Below are 19208 nucleotides of genomic sequence, written 5' to 3' on the forward strand. Positions count from 1 at the left end.
AATCTTTTTTACTTTTTACTTAAAATGTTTGCTGATCCTTTGTTTTGTTTTTCAGAGTCTTAAAACTTTTATTTTGAGCTACAATTTAGAATACTCCTATGAACAAAACGTGGAGCATACTTTATCCTGTCTGCCTGATTTCTCCAGAATTTGGAAACTATTTGTGGATATTCTTAACTTGTGGCAATACAGTTATTTGCATAAGTGCAATAAGAATCTGTTTTCACTTGTAACAGGACACAATTGGAGAAACTGGTTATTTTACCAAGGCTTTTACTGGAATGGTGTGCTTTCCTTTAAGGAATCAAACTTGGCTTATGAAACCAATAATGTCCTTGGAAAAACTGACCTCATATTTTGTGTACAGAGTCCCTGTACAGGGTTTCTGACCTGTGGTAAGTAAAGAATGTCACTTTCTGACAGGCCCAGAAGCTCCAAGTTTATCTTGGAACCTCGAGTGGCGAGGAGATTCACCCAACTCATAGGTACTTGATGGCACAAATCTACGGCTGGGCTCGGCTTTTAAAAAGTCTTATCTGACATTCCTTCTATGGAACAAAGTTCCACCAAAGGCAATTTAAAAGCCTATGTAAAAAATAACTATTCTTGGTGCACTGTATACAAATAATTTGGCAAAGTAAAATAAAGCAAACTAGTCCTAACATGATTTGTCTTTAGCAAAAATGGGAAATTTTATGTCCTAATTAATCCTTTAGTTAGGATTAGAGAAGAGAGAAAAATTATGTTTCCAAAACTAGGGTACACCTGTTGTTAGATTCTAGTCTTGCCCAGTGTTTTTCAATTTTTATTATTTTCTACAGTTTGGACCAAATTCTATTTTTTCTTGGCTACAAGCCTTCAAAATAATGTTTTCAATTTTTTTCTTTTTTTTCCCCCATATTTCCTAATTTGGAGTCACTGAAAACTAAGCTGTGCTTTCTTAAAGTCCGGCAAACTGAAGCCAGTCAACTTAAACTTTAGAAGAAAGTAACTGCAGCCTATTTACATACATAAGCCACTTTTCATACCTGCCTACTGATGTACGGACTTCAAAGTAACATGGCCTATATGAATATTTCCAGTATTGTTCTTTTTTTTGCTGTTGTTTTTCTCCCTTCCTCCCACTATTTTCTCTTCATAGAACATGAGACTTTGCAATCTGCTAAAAATAAGCTTTTGGGACCTACCCATCTAGTAATAAACCATCCTAACCATGAGAAATCAGATGAAAACTGAGACCAGAGACTCATATTCTCCTAAAATGCTTTCTCCTAAAGATTTTTTTTTTAAAGGGAGCAGGGGAATGGGAAAGGAAATTATCTTGGGCTCTGTCAAACTGGGAGCTGCCTCCCATTCTATTTAAAGTTATTCCTTTGCTCACTGAGATGAATGCCTATTCTGATTGCCTCCTTTGGAAAGGTCAATCAGAAACTCAAAAAAAATGCAACCATTTGTCTCTCACCTACCTATGACCTTGAAGCCTCCTCCCTGCTTCAAGTTGTCCCCACCTTTCTGGATAAAACCAATGTATGTCTTAGATATATTAATTGATGTCTCATGTCTTCCTAAAATGTATAAAACCAAGTTGTGCCCTGACTACCCCGGACTACCTCAGGACTTCCTGAGGCTGTGTCATGGGTGCCTGTTCTTAACTTTGGCAAATAAACTTTCTAAAATGATTGAGACTTGTCTCACCGTTTTTCTCAATTGACATTCATTGCTTAAGACCTCTATAGTTTTCCATGGATCACATTTCACCTTAGATAGGTGCAGGTAAGTATTTACAATTACTGTTAATGATCTTGTTCCCTCTGGCCTTCTCTTCACCTAGTTGCCTTTTAGTTGCTTCCCTCTTGGCTGTTTTCTTTGACTCATTTGCTTAGAAAATCATTTGGCCCTCTTCATTTTGCAATTAAAATCCCTGCCCTTATGTTAAATTCAAATTCATTTTCCCATAAGAGTGAAGATTTACACTATTTCTTTAACACTAATGTTCTTTTTAATAAATCTTTTGTCAGATGAAGAAATTTAAGAGTAAACTTCTGGTGGCTGTCATTAGTTGTAATTTTAGGCTATAAGAAGAAGGCACAGTCTTAAGAATATAAATATAAAGAATATCGTCTATGAATGGATCAACTGCCTATGTAATTACATTTAACAAACATACTAAATATTCTATTTGTAATTCAAAACTCTATTTCTCCTGGCCCTTTTGTAACCCTCTAAGAAACACTTAACTGTCTAGTCTGGAGAAATATCTAAATGTTATTTACCTATGGAACATTGCATTGAATTTGTAGATGTTCATTGCATTCTAAAAATATTTGGAAAATTCTAGTTTGTAAAAATTGATAATATAATGTTCGAACTGACCATAGGGCTAATATTTGAATGACTCGAAAGTATTAATCAAATACATTACAAGTATATGTAGGTACATGCATTAAAGTTTGCAGTGTTATGTTTGGACGTAAAGAAAAATATCTTGAATGGGATACAAAAGGAAGCTATGAAGAGTACATTACTGGAAATTCTTTAAAAGTAGCCAATGGCATGATTCACTTGGATTGGGAGGTGAATGCAGGAACATCAATTTTACTTTTCATCTTTGTCATTAATTGTATGATTTTGGATACTTAATCCATCAGCATTTTACAATCCTCTTTTATAAAACCATAATAATAAAGTAGAATGCCTTAAAATGTGTAATACTAGAAGTAGTTATTTAAACAAAAGGTCAGAATTAACTAATCTTGGGTGGGAGCTATACTAGGAACCCTTGAAGAAAACACCACTGCATTTCTTAGGTGTTTGAACATCTGCCTCCCAGGACTAAACACTTAGAACTTATTAGGTCAATTTCAGCTTTCCAAAAGCTGGGCTTGGACAAAATCTATTTATATAATATTCTTTATATAACCATTATGTTTTCCATCACTTTTCCAGATATGCATTCTATAGTTTGTCAAATGTGTATGTAGAGTTTCTTTCTAAAACGTGATATTTACATAAACGTATTTCTAAAATTATTGTTCAATGCAAAGAGTTCTCTTAAAATAGCTACATACATTGCAACTTAGAATCTCTGGGTTTTCTTATTTTGTGGCATGAACATTCCCTGGAGTCAATAATTTAAGTCAGTAGGATAGCTAAAAATCTCCAGTTTATGCCTCAAAATTTTGCCTGTTTAATTTCTAAGCCAGTAGTTATATAAAATCCATAGGAGTCTAGACTAAATTAACAAAAACTGAAATAATATCCAATGTGTGGGAACTATCTGATATGGCCCAATAGTCTGATCAAGTTTTTGAAACCCCCACACATTCTCGTTTGTCTTGAACCTGGAGAAAATTCAGTACCTGATTCACATTGAAGAGTAAGCTCAAACCTCTTCCAGAGACACTCACTTTTCTCTTTGCTTGGAGAGTTTCACCATGATTAAAAGTAAAACAATTTCCATATTCAGTGAAGACATGTGCAAAATCCTCCAATATGTAAATGAACCAAAAAAAACCATCAATTTGATATTTTTGTCACTTCTCAAGTTTGCCATAACCTTTTTTTTTAAAGCACAAATACCTAACAAGACTGCAGAAATATCAGAGAGAATAGTCTGATTTATATGTGTATTCAGTGATAGTTTTTTTTTTTTGGTAATATGCATTCGTCAATTTGCATGTGATTATTTAAAGGAGACATTTTCATATAAAATTAAGCATGTATTTAAAACATTTAAAAAAATTACTTGTTTAATGTTTTCCTGAAGATGTATGGAAACATGTTTTTATCTGTGGAGCACTACTTCAGCATCCTTTCTTGGAGGAGCTATGCCTAATGTAACCTGTATGGTCACAGTGTGGCAGTCAATCACATGACCCTTTTACTCTCCTTTTACCCTCCTTTTCCAACCACTACAGAGGTGTGCATGGGACACAAGCTGGGCCAAGCTTAAACCTCACCTTCTTGCCTCAGTGGTTGGTTCAAGAATTGATATGTGTCCCAAGTGGAGCTAATTAGAGTCTTTGGTGAGATTATTAAGTGGATACTGGAGTGCTAAACTCTGATAATGAGTCTAGGGGGAGTCAGCAGCCATTTTGGTGAGGTGTGGGGAGAACTGATACAGAAAGAAGCCAACCAGAATTATGAGATGGAAACAAAGTCAGAATCTTAAAGACAGTCTTGGAGTCCGTTGGTTCAGCATTTTTTGAAGCCAGACCTACTGTTGGAGTTCCTGCTTAATTAAGCCAATTCATTACTTTTAGTCTTCAGTTTACTAGAACAGAAATGGGTTTCTGTAATATGCAACTGAAAAAATTCTCTAACATGAAATTTTTTGTTGGTAAGTTAAACTTGTTGGTGAATAAAAACAGCATAAGAAAGCTTACTTTCCAAGTTAAGAGTTTAGGCCAGAACCTCACCTCTGTGAAATGTCTCTCAGGCATTTTTTTCTGCTTACTGTGTGCTAAGGCGGCCTACCAAAAACATAAGAAATTGTATTGAAGAACAAAGAATTTGTGTTTACTTAGGTTCCCCTAACAACACAGGCTACAGAATTGCTGATACGGGAAATACGGCATCAAATTGCCTGTATAGTTCTTTATTAATAGATTACAGATAGATCTAGTACTTTATCTTAAATGTAGATTAATTTTATAAACAATAATAACAGGATTTTGTATTTGTTATGTATTTGTTTTGTATTTGTTATGAGTGAATGTTTATTATATATAATATATACTAGTTATTATATATAATATATAATATATACTAGTTATTATATATAATATATAATATATAATAATAATATATAAATTTTTCATAGTTAAATGCTGGGATCCTCTTATTTTCTATAGTCTCTAATGCAATACCATAAGCATATATGCAGAGTGATGGATATTTGGTGATTATAAAAATACTATGTTGGAATAGGTTGTTTGTTGATGAATGAAAAAAATTAAAATATCCTCTTGTGTTAAATTGTTTTTCTTTTGGAAGGACTATACTACAAGAAAGGCAATCAAGTTTTCTCTTTTCTATCTTTCCTTATCTAACTGCTTGAAAGAGGAAATTTGTCTCATGTGTATTCCATACCCCTGATATCATAAGGCTGAGCTAATGAAATAGAATCTGTAAGCAAATTTGGATTGATTCACCATGGGAGTAAATGCCGTGGGAGCTCAATGTGAAACAGTGCAGTAACGGAACTTATTACTTTGATTATATTTGAAGAATAGAAAATCGTTACCTTTGGGCTACATGGCTTTCCAAAAAACTCACAGTCCAACAAAGTGCTATTGTTGAGATAAAAACCTTTGTTCCTGATAAATTCCACAATGCTGAAGTTTTGGTGACTTGCAGCAAAATCAGTAGCCTCTCTAGAGCCAGTGGAATTGGCAGTAATTTCTTGAAGATGGAGGACTTTGGATACAATGTGCCATAAGAAAAAAATAACACCAAATTTGGCTACAGCATCTGTTTGGAACCTATTAGCAGGAATGAAGGCAATAGTTAGAATAATGAAAACTTATAATTATCTGGAAGACAGATACCAACATCTAGATTCTATTAGCTTCTTCTTATCTCCCACACTCTCCCTTATTTGCAAGACATTTAAGCAAAATTTGATGCCTAAGAAGTCTTTGACCCATTGTGCAATTAATCTTGTATTTGCACATGTAGTTTCATTTACCTAGAATATTCCCCAGACCTTGATCTGGATGACACCTAATGGATCTTCAAGATTCAATTTAAAGGAAGAGGAGGGAATATATAGTTGTTAAAAATGCATTTAGGAGCCAGATTTCCTGTGTGTGGCCTTGTCCTGTGTCAGCTTAGCTAAATTAGAACTGCATTTCCCAGCATTCCCATCCTTGTATATATGTGAGTTTCACTGTCGTGCAGGAGCTGTGGTAGCTCACCCACACTGCAATCCATCTGCTGACTCAACTTGCTAGTATCGGGCAGCAGCCAGGACCACAGCTCCTCCAGCTCCTTTGTGACCTTTTCCTTCAGCTTCTTCAAATACTGGGTTAGGTAAGAGTGCGACCTGGTAAAGATGACAGCTATCCTGCAGGTCATTCACACCATCAAGATTGGAGGTAGTGAAAAAGAGACCTACATTTTGAGCTTGTATTTGTTTCCCCGACTTCATATCCATTTTCCCTTCCTGCTGGCCCTGCTTACTTCAGCCCCAGCACAAAGAACAGGCGAAAGACTTACAAAGACTGCTTAACCAGCTCCTGCAACGAAGTGGGGCTTAATCCCTAGAAAAAAAGCCCTTTATTCTGTCATTCATGGTGATTCTGTTTCTCCAGTTAGGTTCTAATTGTTACAGCCACTTGATGGTATGACTTAGCAAATTTTTTTTTCATTTCCCTCTGACTTAAGTTTCCTCTCTTGTAAAATCTGTATAACCTACCTCAAAGTGTTCTTTTAATGATTACATTAATTGTTTTTCTTAAAATTTTTAGACACCTGCCTGGAATATAGTGAGTGTTAGGTAAGTACTTATTAAATAAATGATTCATTCTGGCCACCAAAGCAGAAGTAATCTATTTAACTTAACGACTGTATCACTTTCTAATTCTCTTATCTTGCCGGGCAATTTTGTTCTGCATTCCATATGGTTCTTCATTTGCATGCCTTCCATTCCTTTACAAACATGATGAGGACTTTCATATTTTAGATATTATAAATTTTGAAACTGAACAAATGTTCTCTCTTTAAATTGACTGCTAAAGGCATAGAACGGAATGCATATTCCACTCTTGGTAAGTATATGGTGTATGTGGTTTGTATGTCATACCTGAACCTCCTTTGTGTCCCAGATTTTATTTCTATTTTGCTTTATATTATATTATCTTATTTAATATATAAATATATATCTATATGTGTGTGTATATATATACATATATATAAAGAGAGAAGAAAATAAAAATATTTACTCTAAAAGACATTTTTTGACATATTTTGAAATGGCTGCTGCAGGGTCAGCTAACGGAAGTGGCCTTGCAAAGCTGTCTTTTATGTGGAAAATTTGCATCTGTAGAAAACGTCCATTAATGCAGCCGGGCCTCCTCTTGCTAGGCATTTGCTAGGTATAGGAGAGATTGAGATTCTGACACCTTTAAAAGTCTAAAAATAAACATTTGCCATCTTGTCTCTCTGAAGAAGTCTTCATCTATATAACAAGGTCACCTTTGCTAGTCAAGCCTCTTCCTTTCTCCCTACTATAACCTGTATAACCTGTCTTGGTGTTAAAACCTGCTTTCAGTAATGTTCTGAGCCCACATTCTTTCTATAATCTCAAGATGATAAATAAGCCTCTGTATCCGGTTGGGATGTTGGGCTTTATTCTGAAGGCTCATGTGTATACACATTAAATATCATTGTAAGCCTTTTCTTCTATTAATAAATCTGCCTCATGTCACTAATTTTTCAGCCTATCTTTAGGGGGCCAACACCCATGGCCCCCACAATGTATACATATAATTTTTCTTTCAAATTCAAGCCATATTAAATCCTTTCTCAGTCAAGGTAGGGCATACACAAAACACAAAAATGGAGAAACAACCTCAAGCCAACATTACATACTCTTTAAGAGATGAAAAACTGTTTTCACAGTCAATAACTAATATTGTAGCTTGCTTAACTAGCTCTGATACTTGCAAAGCTAGCCCAGGTCCTAAAACTCTGTAAATATCCTCCTCGGACTTCCTGATTCCAAGGCACTATTGGTCATCTGTCATGGTGGTATTCTGTCTAACTACAGTACATCTAATAACCTTGCATTTCTTGGTCAAAAGTATTTCTTGGATCATTAAGGAATTAAGAGTTTACATCAGGAACAGATTTTGGCAGAAGTACAGTGTAAACCCTATATTGAGAGATGGACCTCCAAGCTACTTCAGGTTTCCAACTCCCAGTGACAGACAGGTTCCCAACAATCTGCTCCAAAACCCTACAACTGTGAAATCCTGCACAGTCAGAGCCAGTATTCCCTGAATATATTCATTGGATTATATTCAAAATGATTATGCAGAGAAATAAAGGAATTACTATACATATGGGAGCAATGAATACAATCTACAAAAAAGTTAAATAGGAGGGCATCTTAAAATATTTTTAAGCTTTTTTTATTATACTAATAATATTTGAGACCATGAGAGTAATTTATATAGATTAATTAAATTTAATAAATAAAGCCTAACAATATTAAGCCAAGGAAGAAAATTTTTTGTGAGAAATATTGTTTTGCATAAAACAAAAGTGTTTTGCACTGAGTTTATTTTCAATTTTATTTTATTTTTTGAGACAGAGTCTCAATTTGTTGCCCAGGTTGGAGTGCAGAGGCACAAACATGGTTCATTGCAGCCTTGACCTTCTGGGCTCAAGCAATCCTCCCACTTCAGCCCCCCACATAGCTGGAACTACAGGTGTACACCACCATGCCCAGCTAATTTTTGTATTTTTTGTAGAGACAGAGTTTTACCATGTTGCCTGGCCTGGTCTCAAACTCCTGAGCTCAAGCAATCTGCCTACCTTGGCCTCCCAAAGTGCTGGGATTATAGGCACTAGCCACTGTGTCTGGCTTATTTTTAATTTTAAATTGAACTTCAAAACTCTTCTAAGTTTTCCTTTCAAAAACCTTGCTTAGCTAGAATTTGACTTACTCTAATTTAACACAACTGGTAAGAGCCTAGTAGAAGAAAATAACACCAAAAATATATTAATTTGTTTAAACAATTTAACATCTGCTAACCAGTTATTAGATATGTCTTTCTTATGTATATCAATGGTTCTAAATGTACTTCTCCAAGTTATATGACCCAAATGAGTAAGTTTCATCTAAAATCCAAGTTGATGCCTGACTCAGGCCTTATTTGAGTCCTGCCAAAACAGATCCATTTCTCGTACATTTTACAGATGATTTTATGAAGAAGGAAAATGAGGAATAATGTCTGCCTTTTGTATTCTTCTTTGAGCAAATTTTAATGTCTTACCATTCTTTAATTAACTAATGAAACCTTTGTTGTGTCTTTATATTTGTATGAGAAGCAATGATTTTACCTTTGGTTAAAAATGCTTGAGCAATTTTTTCTTGCATCAAACAAATTTGAAATAAACAAAGAATCACAGTGATTATAAACATGAAGACCCAATATACGAGTTACTCATAAACAATGGATCAAATAGCATCAGTAGTCACTACATCCAATTATTATTTCTGATTTTAGTGGAAGAAAATAAAATTCTGAAGTTTTTACCAAATGAATATAAATTTTTGATGAATTTTGTTATAAAGATATTTTAGTGAAAATTTTAGACACAAAGACATTTGAAAAGCACTAGAATTGATACCAAAGAACCAAGTCACAAACAGTATTACAATTTCTGGAATTTTTTGTGAAATGTGACTTTTTATGAATTTCTGCCAATTGTATTCTTAGGAGTTTGTCTTTCTGTTTGTATAACCATTGCTTCATGTGAAAGAAACTTTTGAAAATTAAAATTAATAAGTATTCTTTAATCAATTACAAGTAAAACTAGACTAATATGGCTGTGCTATGGAACATCAATACATGGATAAAGTTAATTTTGATGAAGTCGTTGACAAATATTCATAAAGAGGCTAAAAAATGGAAATACAATGCTATTATTCATTTCTGTGTAAAACTAAAGAAAATGTCTGAGGGGAGCCCCAATCATTTTAGAGGTTTATTTTGCTAAGGTTGAGGATGAACCTGGGGAAAAGAAACAAAATCACAGAAATATCTGTGATCCATGCTTTTTCCTAAGAGGGTTTGGAGACACAATATTTAAAGCGGAAAGCGTGGGCAGTAGGGGAAAAAGGAAAGAACAAAAAGGGGAGGGTGGATAATAAAGGCAAGCAGTTGCATTCTTTTGAAGCTTTGATCAATTTCACTGAATTTACATTTTACCTGTGAAAGGAGTGGGTAGTAGAATAGTCAACTATGTGTTTGTCTGGTGCTCAGTGAATCTTCATTTTTATATAGGATAAAGTAAACATAGACCAGAGGAAGAAGTCAAATACGCATTTGCCTCAGGTGAGTAGAGGGATGACTTCTAGTTCTATATTTGTCCTGTACCTGTGAAGATAAGCTGTTGATTTATATTCTCAGGGTGAAATTCAGTACAACTTCATTTTACAGTAAGGATCTTGGGGCCCGCAGGAGATTTTCTGTGAGAAAATTGTAAGAGAGGGCCCCTGAGAAGGTATGTGCCTTCTATCTTTGCAGTTATCTATTTAGGAACAAAATGGGAAGCAGTTGTGTGTGACGCAGTTCCCAAGCTTAACTTTTCCCTTTGGCATCGTGAGTTGGGGGTCCTGAGATTTTATTTTACTTTCACAACTGGAACAGATTTTAAAAACTTTAAAAAACAAAAATATGTCAGTGTCCAAAAAGTATTAATGCATTACTTTTTCTTATTTTTGTATTGTTTATTTTATTTTTTAACATTTTTATTGACATGAATATATAGGCCATTTTCATTATTTGTTTGATTTCATGACTATTACCAAAAAAATTTTGTCATATAGAGGAGGGAAGTATTAAAAAGGGATCTCTGACATACACTTGGTATAGGGTCCTGGTACCAATTGTGAAAAGTAAACCCTTTCTTATAATCCAAAGTCACTTGGCAAAGTTTCTTCATCTCAGGTGTCCATTTTCTACTCACAAGGTGGTTAAACAAAAAAAGTATAGAAATTGGGATCTATCAGCAGACCTGTCCAGTTTCTAACTTGGTAAACTCTAATTAAATTACAGTGTTAAGCTTTACTTTTTTTTCAAAAGAATTAGAGAAAATGCAACTTAGAACAATGGGCTTCAAACTAGAATGTGCCTATGTCTGAGTGTTCTCCTGCACAGAGAATTTTAAGGAAATAAATGTTTCCATCCTCTTTTTACAATGGTTCTTCTCCCATATATAGAAAAGTATTAACTTGTCACCCATCACAAATCTTAACACAGAATGCATACTGGTGTGTAACAACCTCAGGGCTCCTAACATAGGAATACAAATTGTATTTTGCTTCAGGGGAAGACTCCTTTAAAAATTAATCAAAGCTCCTAAAATCTTGTCTTGGCTTGTCATACACATATTTGTAGCTAGAGTGAAGTTCTGCGTTAGACACAGGGTATTTGGCCCTTGCTTAAGACTGAATTGACAAAGTCTTAAGTAGAATAATGAAAGTTGTTATTTTAAATGTAACTAGACTATTTGTTAAGGCTTCCACATTTTGGGTTATTTGAATATAATCCACAGATAAAAATTTAAATGATTTCTACTGGTGTATTTTAGTCAATAAAGCAGTTAAAATTTCATGAAAATATATGAAATGTTTATTCCTATTACAGTAAATCCTTATCCTATTTTATCTCATAAATATAATGATATATAATACTTATGTTTGTGATAATATAATTTGATATAAAATACAATATTTTTCACCTCCTAAAAATAATAAATAAATATACTTAGGGTTATGGCTAAAAATGTAGACATATGCAAGTTAAATACACAGTTTTTCAAATTTTTTATATAGCACATTAACTAAAATATTTGAAGATCATTGGCTCTGAGAACTAGAAAATAGCTTGAGTACTTTTCCTGATCTGTCATTAATTTGCTGAGCAATGCTGAGTATAATGTTTAAAGTGGGAATCCAAATTATCTTTCTGTAAAATTATACTTTGGGAGCTGGAGATACCTTTCATGCCTGTAAACTGATATTGTCTTAATTTTTTGTTCCCTAAGGAAGAATAATTTTCTTATAATTAAGAATTTTCCTGTTCTATCATTATAGCCTCTAAAATATTAAATCTTCTTTTGTTGGTCTGGATACTTATATCTAACTGAACTAGGATATATTATCTTTTTTTCAATGTCATCTAACACAAAAGCTGTAATCATTGATTTGAGATTTGAGCTATGCAAAATGGATTAGGTTTCCATACCCAAAATTATAAAAGTACTTAGATCATAGGCTATTAAGTATTTTTAGACTTCTTTTTCTTTTTAATTTAGCTGTTTACAGTTACAACTTTCCCTATAAGCACTGTTTTAGCTGCATCTCAAAAGTTTGGTATGTTGTGTCTTCATTTTCATTCATCTCAAAGTATTTTCTATTTTTTTTGTGATTTCTTCTTTGACTTCTTTGTTATTTAGGTGTGCATTGTTTAATATTTACATATTTGTGAATATCCCAAATTAATTTTGATTATTGACCTCTAATTTTATTCTATTGTGATTGATAAACATATTTGAATAATTTAAAATATTTTCCACCTACTTTACCTTGTATATGGCCTTGTATATGGTCCATTCTAAGAGAATGTGCCATGTGCACATGAGAAGAATGCATATTTTGCTATTGTTGAGTAGAGTGTTCTAAGGATGTTTGCAAAGTCTAGTAGGTTTATAAAGATGTTTAAGTCTTCTGTGTCTTCTATTTCCTTGTTTATTCTCTGTCAAGTTGTTCTATTGATTACTAAAAGTGGGGTATTGAAAAATCTAACTATATAGGTTAACTTATATCTCCTGATAGATTGATCATTTATTCAACATAAAATGACAATTTTTTATATCAGGTAACATATATTACTTTAAAGTCTATGTTGTCTGAGATTAGGATATCTACTCTAGCTTTCTGAAGGTTGACATACCTTTTTCCATTCTTTTACTTTTAACCCATTTGCATCTTCAAATCTAAATTGTGTCTCCTGCACACAACATATAGCTGGATCTTTCTAAAAAAATCCATTCTGATAACCTTTGCCTTTCAATTGGATTGTCTAATCCATTCTAATTTAATTTCATTAGTAATATAGTTAGATTTGCATCTGCCGTTTTACTTTTTGTTTTCTCTATGTCTTATGCCTTTTGTCCTAAGTATACCTTGGCTTGTGGCAAAACCTTATCAATTTCTGCTTCTATTTCACATGAATTTTCCCTGCTGTATCTCTGTGTGTTCTCTCTTCTCCTTATAAGAACTTCAGTCATTGGATTTAGGGCTCATCCTAGTGCAGTATAACCTCAACTTATGTAATTATATTTGTAATGACCCAATTTTAAAATATGATCATTCTGAGGTTCCAGTAGACTTGAATTTGAGGAGATACTATTTAAATGTTTCTTTTTTAAAAGAAAAGTTTGCCTTTTAAGATAAATATTTTTTCACCAGTTATGGTTGGTTTTGAAGGGGATAGAGTTTATGGACTTCCTCACTTTGCCATTCTGGAAGTAATATCTACATTTTATTTCAGTCAAGGATAACTGCAACCAATCTCTGTTTTTGTTAGAACACATGCTACTTAAAACAGTATGAAGCAATAGTATTGAAAATCATTTTTTGGGGGGAAAGGATTGATTTGTTTCGACTGTTAGGACCCTTGATACATATCTTGAGTTCTTGAAATATTGACAATCATACAAACGGGCTATAACATCTATTATATATTGAACACCTGTTCTAGAAGTCCCCCAGGAATGAAACACAATGGAGTACTTATTACCTTATCTAATGTAACAACAAATATGTGAAGTAGATGATATTATCTCATTTTATAAATATGAAAATTAACACTAAGAAGGCTGAGTGACTTCCCTAATAGCTAAGTGGTGAGTCTTAAGAAGCCCTCCCTTCCTCAGCAAAAATCCTATGTATGGTATTTCATGCTTCACCACAGGCAATTACAAAGCATTGTCTGGAAGCCTAGTGGTGGAAAGTTGTCCTCCTCTTAGCAGATTTGGTGTACAGTCAATGGACTGCAGGTTTCTGGAATGAGTTGCAGTCAAGGACTCAAGACACTGGCAGTAGAGCATTGAATCAAGTGTAACCCTTTTCTAAGCTCAGGGCTCTTTGCAGCCGCACTGATCACAGACCCGTGGAGCTGGCCTTGCCTCTACTACATTAAGTAGCTCATCATATGTACACCAGAACATTTTATATCGTTATGTGTTTGCAAAGTAGTTCCCTCTTCCATTTCTTCTTCATCTCCACTTAGAAAGCTGTAATCATCTTTTAATACCCAGATTTCCATAACACCCAAGATGGAGACTATTAATCTGTTCTGTGGGATTTCAGAGCCCTTGCACATTGTTTTATTTTGTTGTGCAATTACCATATTGCACTATGATTGTTGATGTTTCTCTTTTCTGCTAATTAATGAACTTCTAATATGCAGGGATCAAGACTTTACATCTGGCTGGGCACAGTGGCTCACATCTATAATTTCAGCACTTTGGGAGGCTGAGGCAGGTGGATCGCTTCAGCCTAGGAGTTTGAGAATAGTCTGGGCAATGTAGTGAAACCCCCATCTCTTTTACATCTATTTAATGATAGGATTTGGGATGTTACCTAGAATATGATTGTGGAAGGAAGGAAGAAAAGATGGAAAATAAGTGAAAGAAGAAATTAATGAATTCTTTGCTCCCTTAAATTTGTGCTTTTGAGTGCAATTTAAGTGCAATTTAATTCAGTGGTTTTACATATGATAAGTTCCACATGAGAAAACTCTTTGTCAGTCATCCAAGAAAGATTATACTAGCAAATTTATAGGAACTAATTATTTTTAAAAAAGTAATTTTTACCTGTTCAAATTACAAAATGTCACAGCTGGGAACTCCATCTTTTCCACATATTGAACCTCAATGGACGTTGTGGTTGGCCATGTGAAGTAGTTGAGCAAGCGAATGTAGATCTGCCATGTCACAAGTGAGACTGAGCCCAGAACCACCACCAACCAGAGCACCCTGCGAATTTTGCTCCGGTTCTGAACAATATTGTGTATCCCATGAAAGGAAGTGGAGATGGCAAAGTCATGGTCAAACTTCTTTCGCTCAGTGGGAGATGGCAGTGGTTTCTTTGAAAGGCAAAGCTTTATCTTTTCTAAGAGTCCTTAAGGTTTTGCCCATAAAATGATTAAACAAAAAAAAGTAATTAGGAAACCTTAATGCTATCCGTAAAAAAACACAACTCACATAATTTAAAGAGGTGACTCTTTTTACTTGTAATTCATAGAAACTAAAAATTCATCTTTTGTTGCATGATTTATTCAGGAATCAAGAAGTGTAAGTGTTGGCTACATGGGTTTATTGAGAAGATGCTAATGCTATTCATAGAACGGCTATTATTAATGTAAATGTGTTAGTGGTATGGTATTAATAGGTGACTTCCAGCTTTAAAACCAAGTTGGTTACAACAATTCATAAACTTTAAATATTAACTCTTATTTTTAAAATGCTCTTTCTCTCTGAAAGTCCTTTAGAAGTCATGAACAAAATGAGGCTGATTCCTCTGACAGTCCTAAGTATGGCTAAAAGTAATCTGTTCTTAACTAATGTTTGTCCTATGGTGGTATAATTTATGGTAAATGTAACTTTCATTCTCGTATTCTTTAATGTACAACTATTTTATATTTTGTTGGTTGTTTAGTCAGAATGTTCAGTGTTCAGTTGTAGTATTAGTTAAGTAATCTATTTTCTACCTCTTCATGGAATTAATTCATCATTTCAAGTCTATCAGGAATCAATCAATAATATTTATTGATATTCATTGGTAAGAACCAGGGAAGGTAACACTAAATTTTTTTGGCAATATATGATATGTTGACAATTTTATTTTGGTTAAATTTCTTTCCATTTGTTCATAGGAGAAGAGGCAATGAATCCCTTTGTGGAGGGAAAGGTTCAATATAGTTAAGAGCATGAGATGGGCTTCACAATGGAAGATCAGGCTTCCGGTCCATTCCTCGCCTCTTATAACCTGCACAACTTTAGCCAAGTTTCTTAGTCTTATACCTTTTCTGTCAAATGGCAGCAATGGTATCTGCCTTATGAATTTGTTGTATTAAATTTGTTGATAATACCTGGAGAGAGCTTAGCACATTATCTAGATCATAATAAGTACTCAAGGGTATTAGCTATTTTTATTATTCTGCTAATGTAGTGGTGATGTGGTAAATAGTAAAATATTCAGGAATTTTAAAAAGCTTTAAAAGTATCTTAAAAAATTAGTTCTTAATGGCTTTATATATGTTCATAATTAGGTGAATTAACTTTTATATCCTTTGCCAAAATAATACTTTTGGAATATAGGTATTCAACTATCCAGCATTAATTTACTTACAAGATGTTTCAAGCTTCATTTACTATTAAATCATTATTTAATACAACATAAATAACCAATCAATTAGCTAAGCTTTTTATTCAGTTATAGGACATATGCTATAAAAAGGTGTCTATTAACATTTTCTAAGGGAGTCCATTTCATTCACTTACAAATTATATTATTATTATTTTACAAATTATATTATGATTATTATTCACTAAGCAGGATAGCTTGTATTAATATGATTAGCTTGAAGTTGGACTAAAATCTTAGAATAGCACCGTTATTAATGTTGTTTTTAGTATAAAATTAATGAACATGTATCAAGTAACTGGCATAATCCCAGAGAAAAATCAGAAACAAGAAAAAAGTTATTGTTACTAATTAGCAAAATATATTTAAATATGCTCTTTTGTGTATTCTTTAGTCATGACTTGCAAACATATGCGAAGAATTTACTCTGATAAAAGAACAACTCAGTCTCTGGATAACTTGTACCATTCCTAGAATAGGGATCAAAACTATTAGAAGGGGAAGACTAATGTAGTAACTAGTTACTGACAAGCAAAGTGTGGCTAGTTGCAAGCATTACCCCAAAACATTTAACTTTCAAGTTTGCCTGTCAAAAATCAGCCCATTTAATATACATCTAATCCTTGACAATTGGTTTGGCCTTTCTGGAGTAATACCAACTATTTTCTAGTGTTTTAATAGAGTTTTTTTTATTATTGTTTTAGGTAAATGTATGACTGTCAGGAAGATTAAAATTGGTTGAATAAATGGCCCACTAGTTTGCAAAGCAGAAACTTCTTACTCTCCTGACTGGAGTATATACAGTGTCATTATGACAACTAGACCTTGCATTGAGTGCTGATCAACATAGAAGCATTTTGAGGAACATCAAATCAGCTTTGTTACATTTAAAAAATAAAACCTGCAGGCCCAGGATAAATAGAAACCAAAAGAAATAAAACAAAACAAAGAAACAAAATCAGATTCTGGCATATAGTAATATTTTAAAACTATTTTTGAGTCCCTCATACAAATAACTTTTTTTCTAAGTAAAACTATTCATTTTTAAAACTTATATTACTTATATTGTGTTCAAGTAACATTGGAAATCAAATTTCCCAAATGAAGAAAAAAAATCTCTCTTTTCTTACTTCTGGCCTCTAGAAATGAAAAATATTACTGCTCTGAGGAGTTCACTCTTTACTCACCGTTCTCAGCATATACTTTTGATTTTTCTGTCTGCTCCATTTGTGATTTCAGTTAAGCAAGAGTCCTCAGGGTAACCCAATTTTCATCAATAACAGTATTCATTTTGTGCCCTTTATATAAAATACAGCAGTTGAGGTTGTAAAACATGGAAGCAATTTAAATGTTTGTGTTGCTATGTTTTGCCTCATAAAGCACATAATCTGAAAACCAAAAATGTTGACAGAACCAGGTATGGGCATTTATGGACTGATGAGAAGCTAACCCAGAGTGATTTCATGAGTGAAAAGCAAAAAGTATCATTAGGAAACCATTTTCTCACAGTTAAAGGGACACTTCCTATCAAATATGTGTAGTTAAGCAGCAGCCCCTGACCAGGCTAGTTGACACTCCAATGACTCACCCGGGAACGTCTTCTTAGCTTTTCTTTTTACCTTTGTCTTTATTCAACTTCAAATCAAAACGCAGCTGGAATAAATTTTTTTTTATGGGAAAGGTGTCTTCCCTTGTCGGTGTTTCTTTCTTAGTAACAGAAGCTGTTTCTAACAGAAATAATAGCCAATAAACATGACAAAATAAAACACCAAAAAATATCTGCTCAAGAATAAATGATTACTGAAAACAAACAACTTACTAAAACATAAAGTCTGATTATTTTTTATATGAACACTTTTGGAAAATTGTTAGAATTTATTATATTGAATAATAAATGGAAGAATGTGCATTATTGTGCATAAAGGGCATCATCTCTTGACAGAATTCAGTGATTGCATGTATCTGTACCTAATAGAGCTTGTTAGACTCACCATTTTATAAGCATCTCACCATTAATCATCAGTATGATTACGTATATTTTGCATATATTTGGAAACTTGTAAACTCAGCACTATAAGTTCAAACTAGTCTTATACGGAGGCAAACTAATTCCAAGTGATGTAAGTAAGGAATCTGGCTAGAGGTCCTCAGTTATCACAGTAAAGATTTCAGGAATAGGATAAATTTCATGATATATGAATTTCTCCATTAAAGAGCTCTTCTTTAGGGTTAAATTATGTATTATTCTGTTCTCACACTGCTGATAAAGACATATTCAAGACTGGGTAATTTAGAAAGAGGTTTAATTGACTCACAGTTTCACATAGCTGGGAAGACCACGCAATCATGGTGGAAGGTGAAAGAGGAGCAAAGTTACATCTAACATGGAGGCAGGCAAGAGAGTTTGTGTAGGGGAACTTCCCTTCATAAAACTATCAGATCTCTTGAGACTGTTTCACTCTCATGAGAACAGCATGGGAAAGACCCGCCTCCATGATTCAATTAACTCTCACAGGGTCCCTCCCACAGAACATGGGAATTATGGAAGCTATAATTAAAGATGAGATTTGGGTGGGGACACAGTCAAATCATTTCATTCTGCCCCTAGCCCCTGCCAAATCTCATGTCTTCACATTGTTCAAAGCCAATCATGTCTTCCCAAAAGTGCCCCAAGTCTTAACCCATTTCAGCATTAACTCAAAATTTTGTAGTCCAAAGACTTACCTGAGACAAGGCAAGTCCCTTCTGTCTATGAGTGTGTAAAATCAAAAGCAAGTTAGTTACTTCCTAGATACAACGGAGTACAGGTATTAGGTAAATACACTCATTTCCAAATGAGAGAAATTGGCACAAATAAAAGGGCTATGGGGCCCATGCAAGTCTAAAATCCAATAGGGCAGTCATTAAGCTTTAAAGTTCCAAAATGATCTCCTTTGACTCCATGTCTCACATCCAGGTCATGCTGATGCAAGAGGTGGGCTCCCATGGCCTTGGGCAGCTCCAAACCCTGTGGCTTTGCAGGGTATAGCCCCCCTCCTGG

At 33.9% G+C, this 19208-nt stretch overlaps 1 protein-coding gene and 1 long non-coding RNA gene across 4 annotated transcripts in view; one reads left to right on the top strand and one right to left on the bottom strand.

Moving 5' to 3' along the window:
• The window catches only part of ASIC5 (acid sensing ion channel subunit family member 5), a 36549-nt gene extending 19103 nt beyond the window's left edge, over nt 1-17446 (bottom strand). Inside the window, exons 1-4 of one of the 2 annotated variants that reach the window (NM_017419.3) lie at nt 17356-17446; nt 14617-14923; nt 5246-5483; nt 3360-3485 (exon numbers count right to left, since the gene is read on the bottom strand). In NM_017419.3, coding sequence (NP_059115.1) covers nt 3360-3485; nt 5246-5483; nt 14617-14923; nt 17356-17395 — 711 coding nt within the window. In that variant the 5' untranslated portion in view covers nt 17396-17446. The remainder of the gene's footprint in view (nt 1-3359; nt 3486-5245; nt 5484-14616; nt 14924-17355) is intronic. The other variant, XM_017008291.2, reaches the window with a different exon arrangement.
• Nucleotides 5903-19208, top strand: part of LOC105377507 (uncharacterized) — a 29228-nt gene continuing 15922 nt past the window's right edge. The window contains exons 1-3 of one of the 2 annotated variants that reach the window (XR_001741901.2): nt 5903-6033; nt 6471-6499; nt 10017-10067. This is a non-coding gene — a long non-coding RNA (uncharacterized LOC105377507). Of the gene's footprint in view, nt 6034-6470; nt 6500-10016; nt 18078-19208 lie in introns of those variants that run through there. The other variant, XR_939389.3, reaches the window with a different exon arrangement.

This window comes from Homo sapiens, chromosome 4 (assembly GCF_000001405.40).
Source record: "Homo sapiens chromosome 4, GRCh38.p14 Primary Assembly".
NCBI classification, from domain to species: Eukaryota; Metazoa; Chordata; class Mammalia; order Primates; family Hominidae; genus Homo; species Homo sapiens.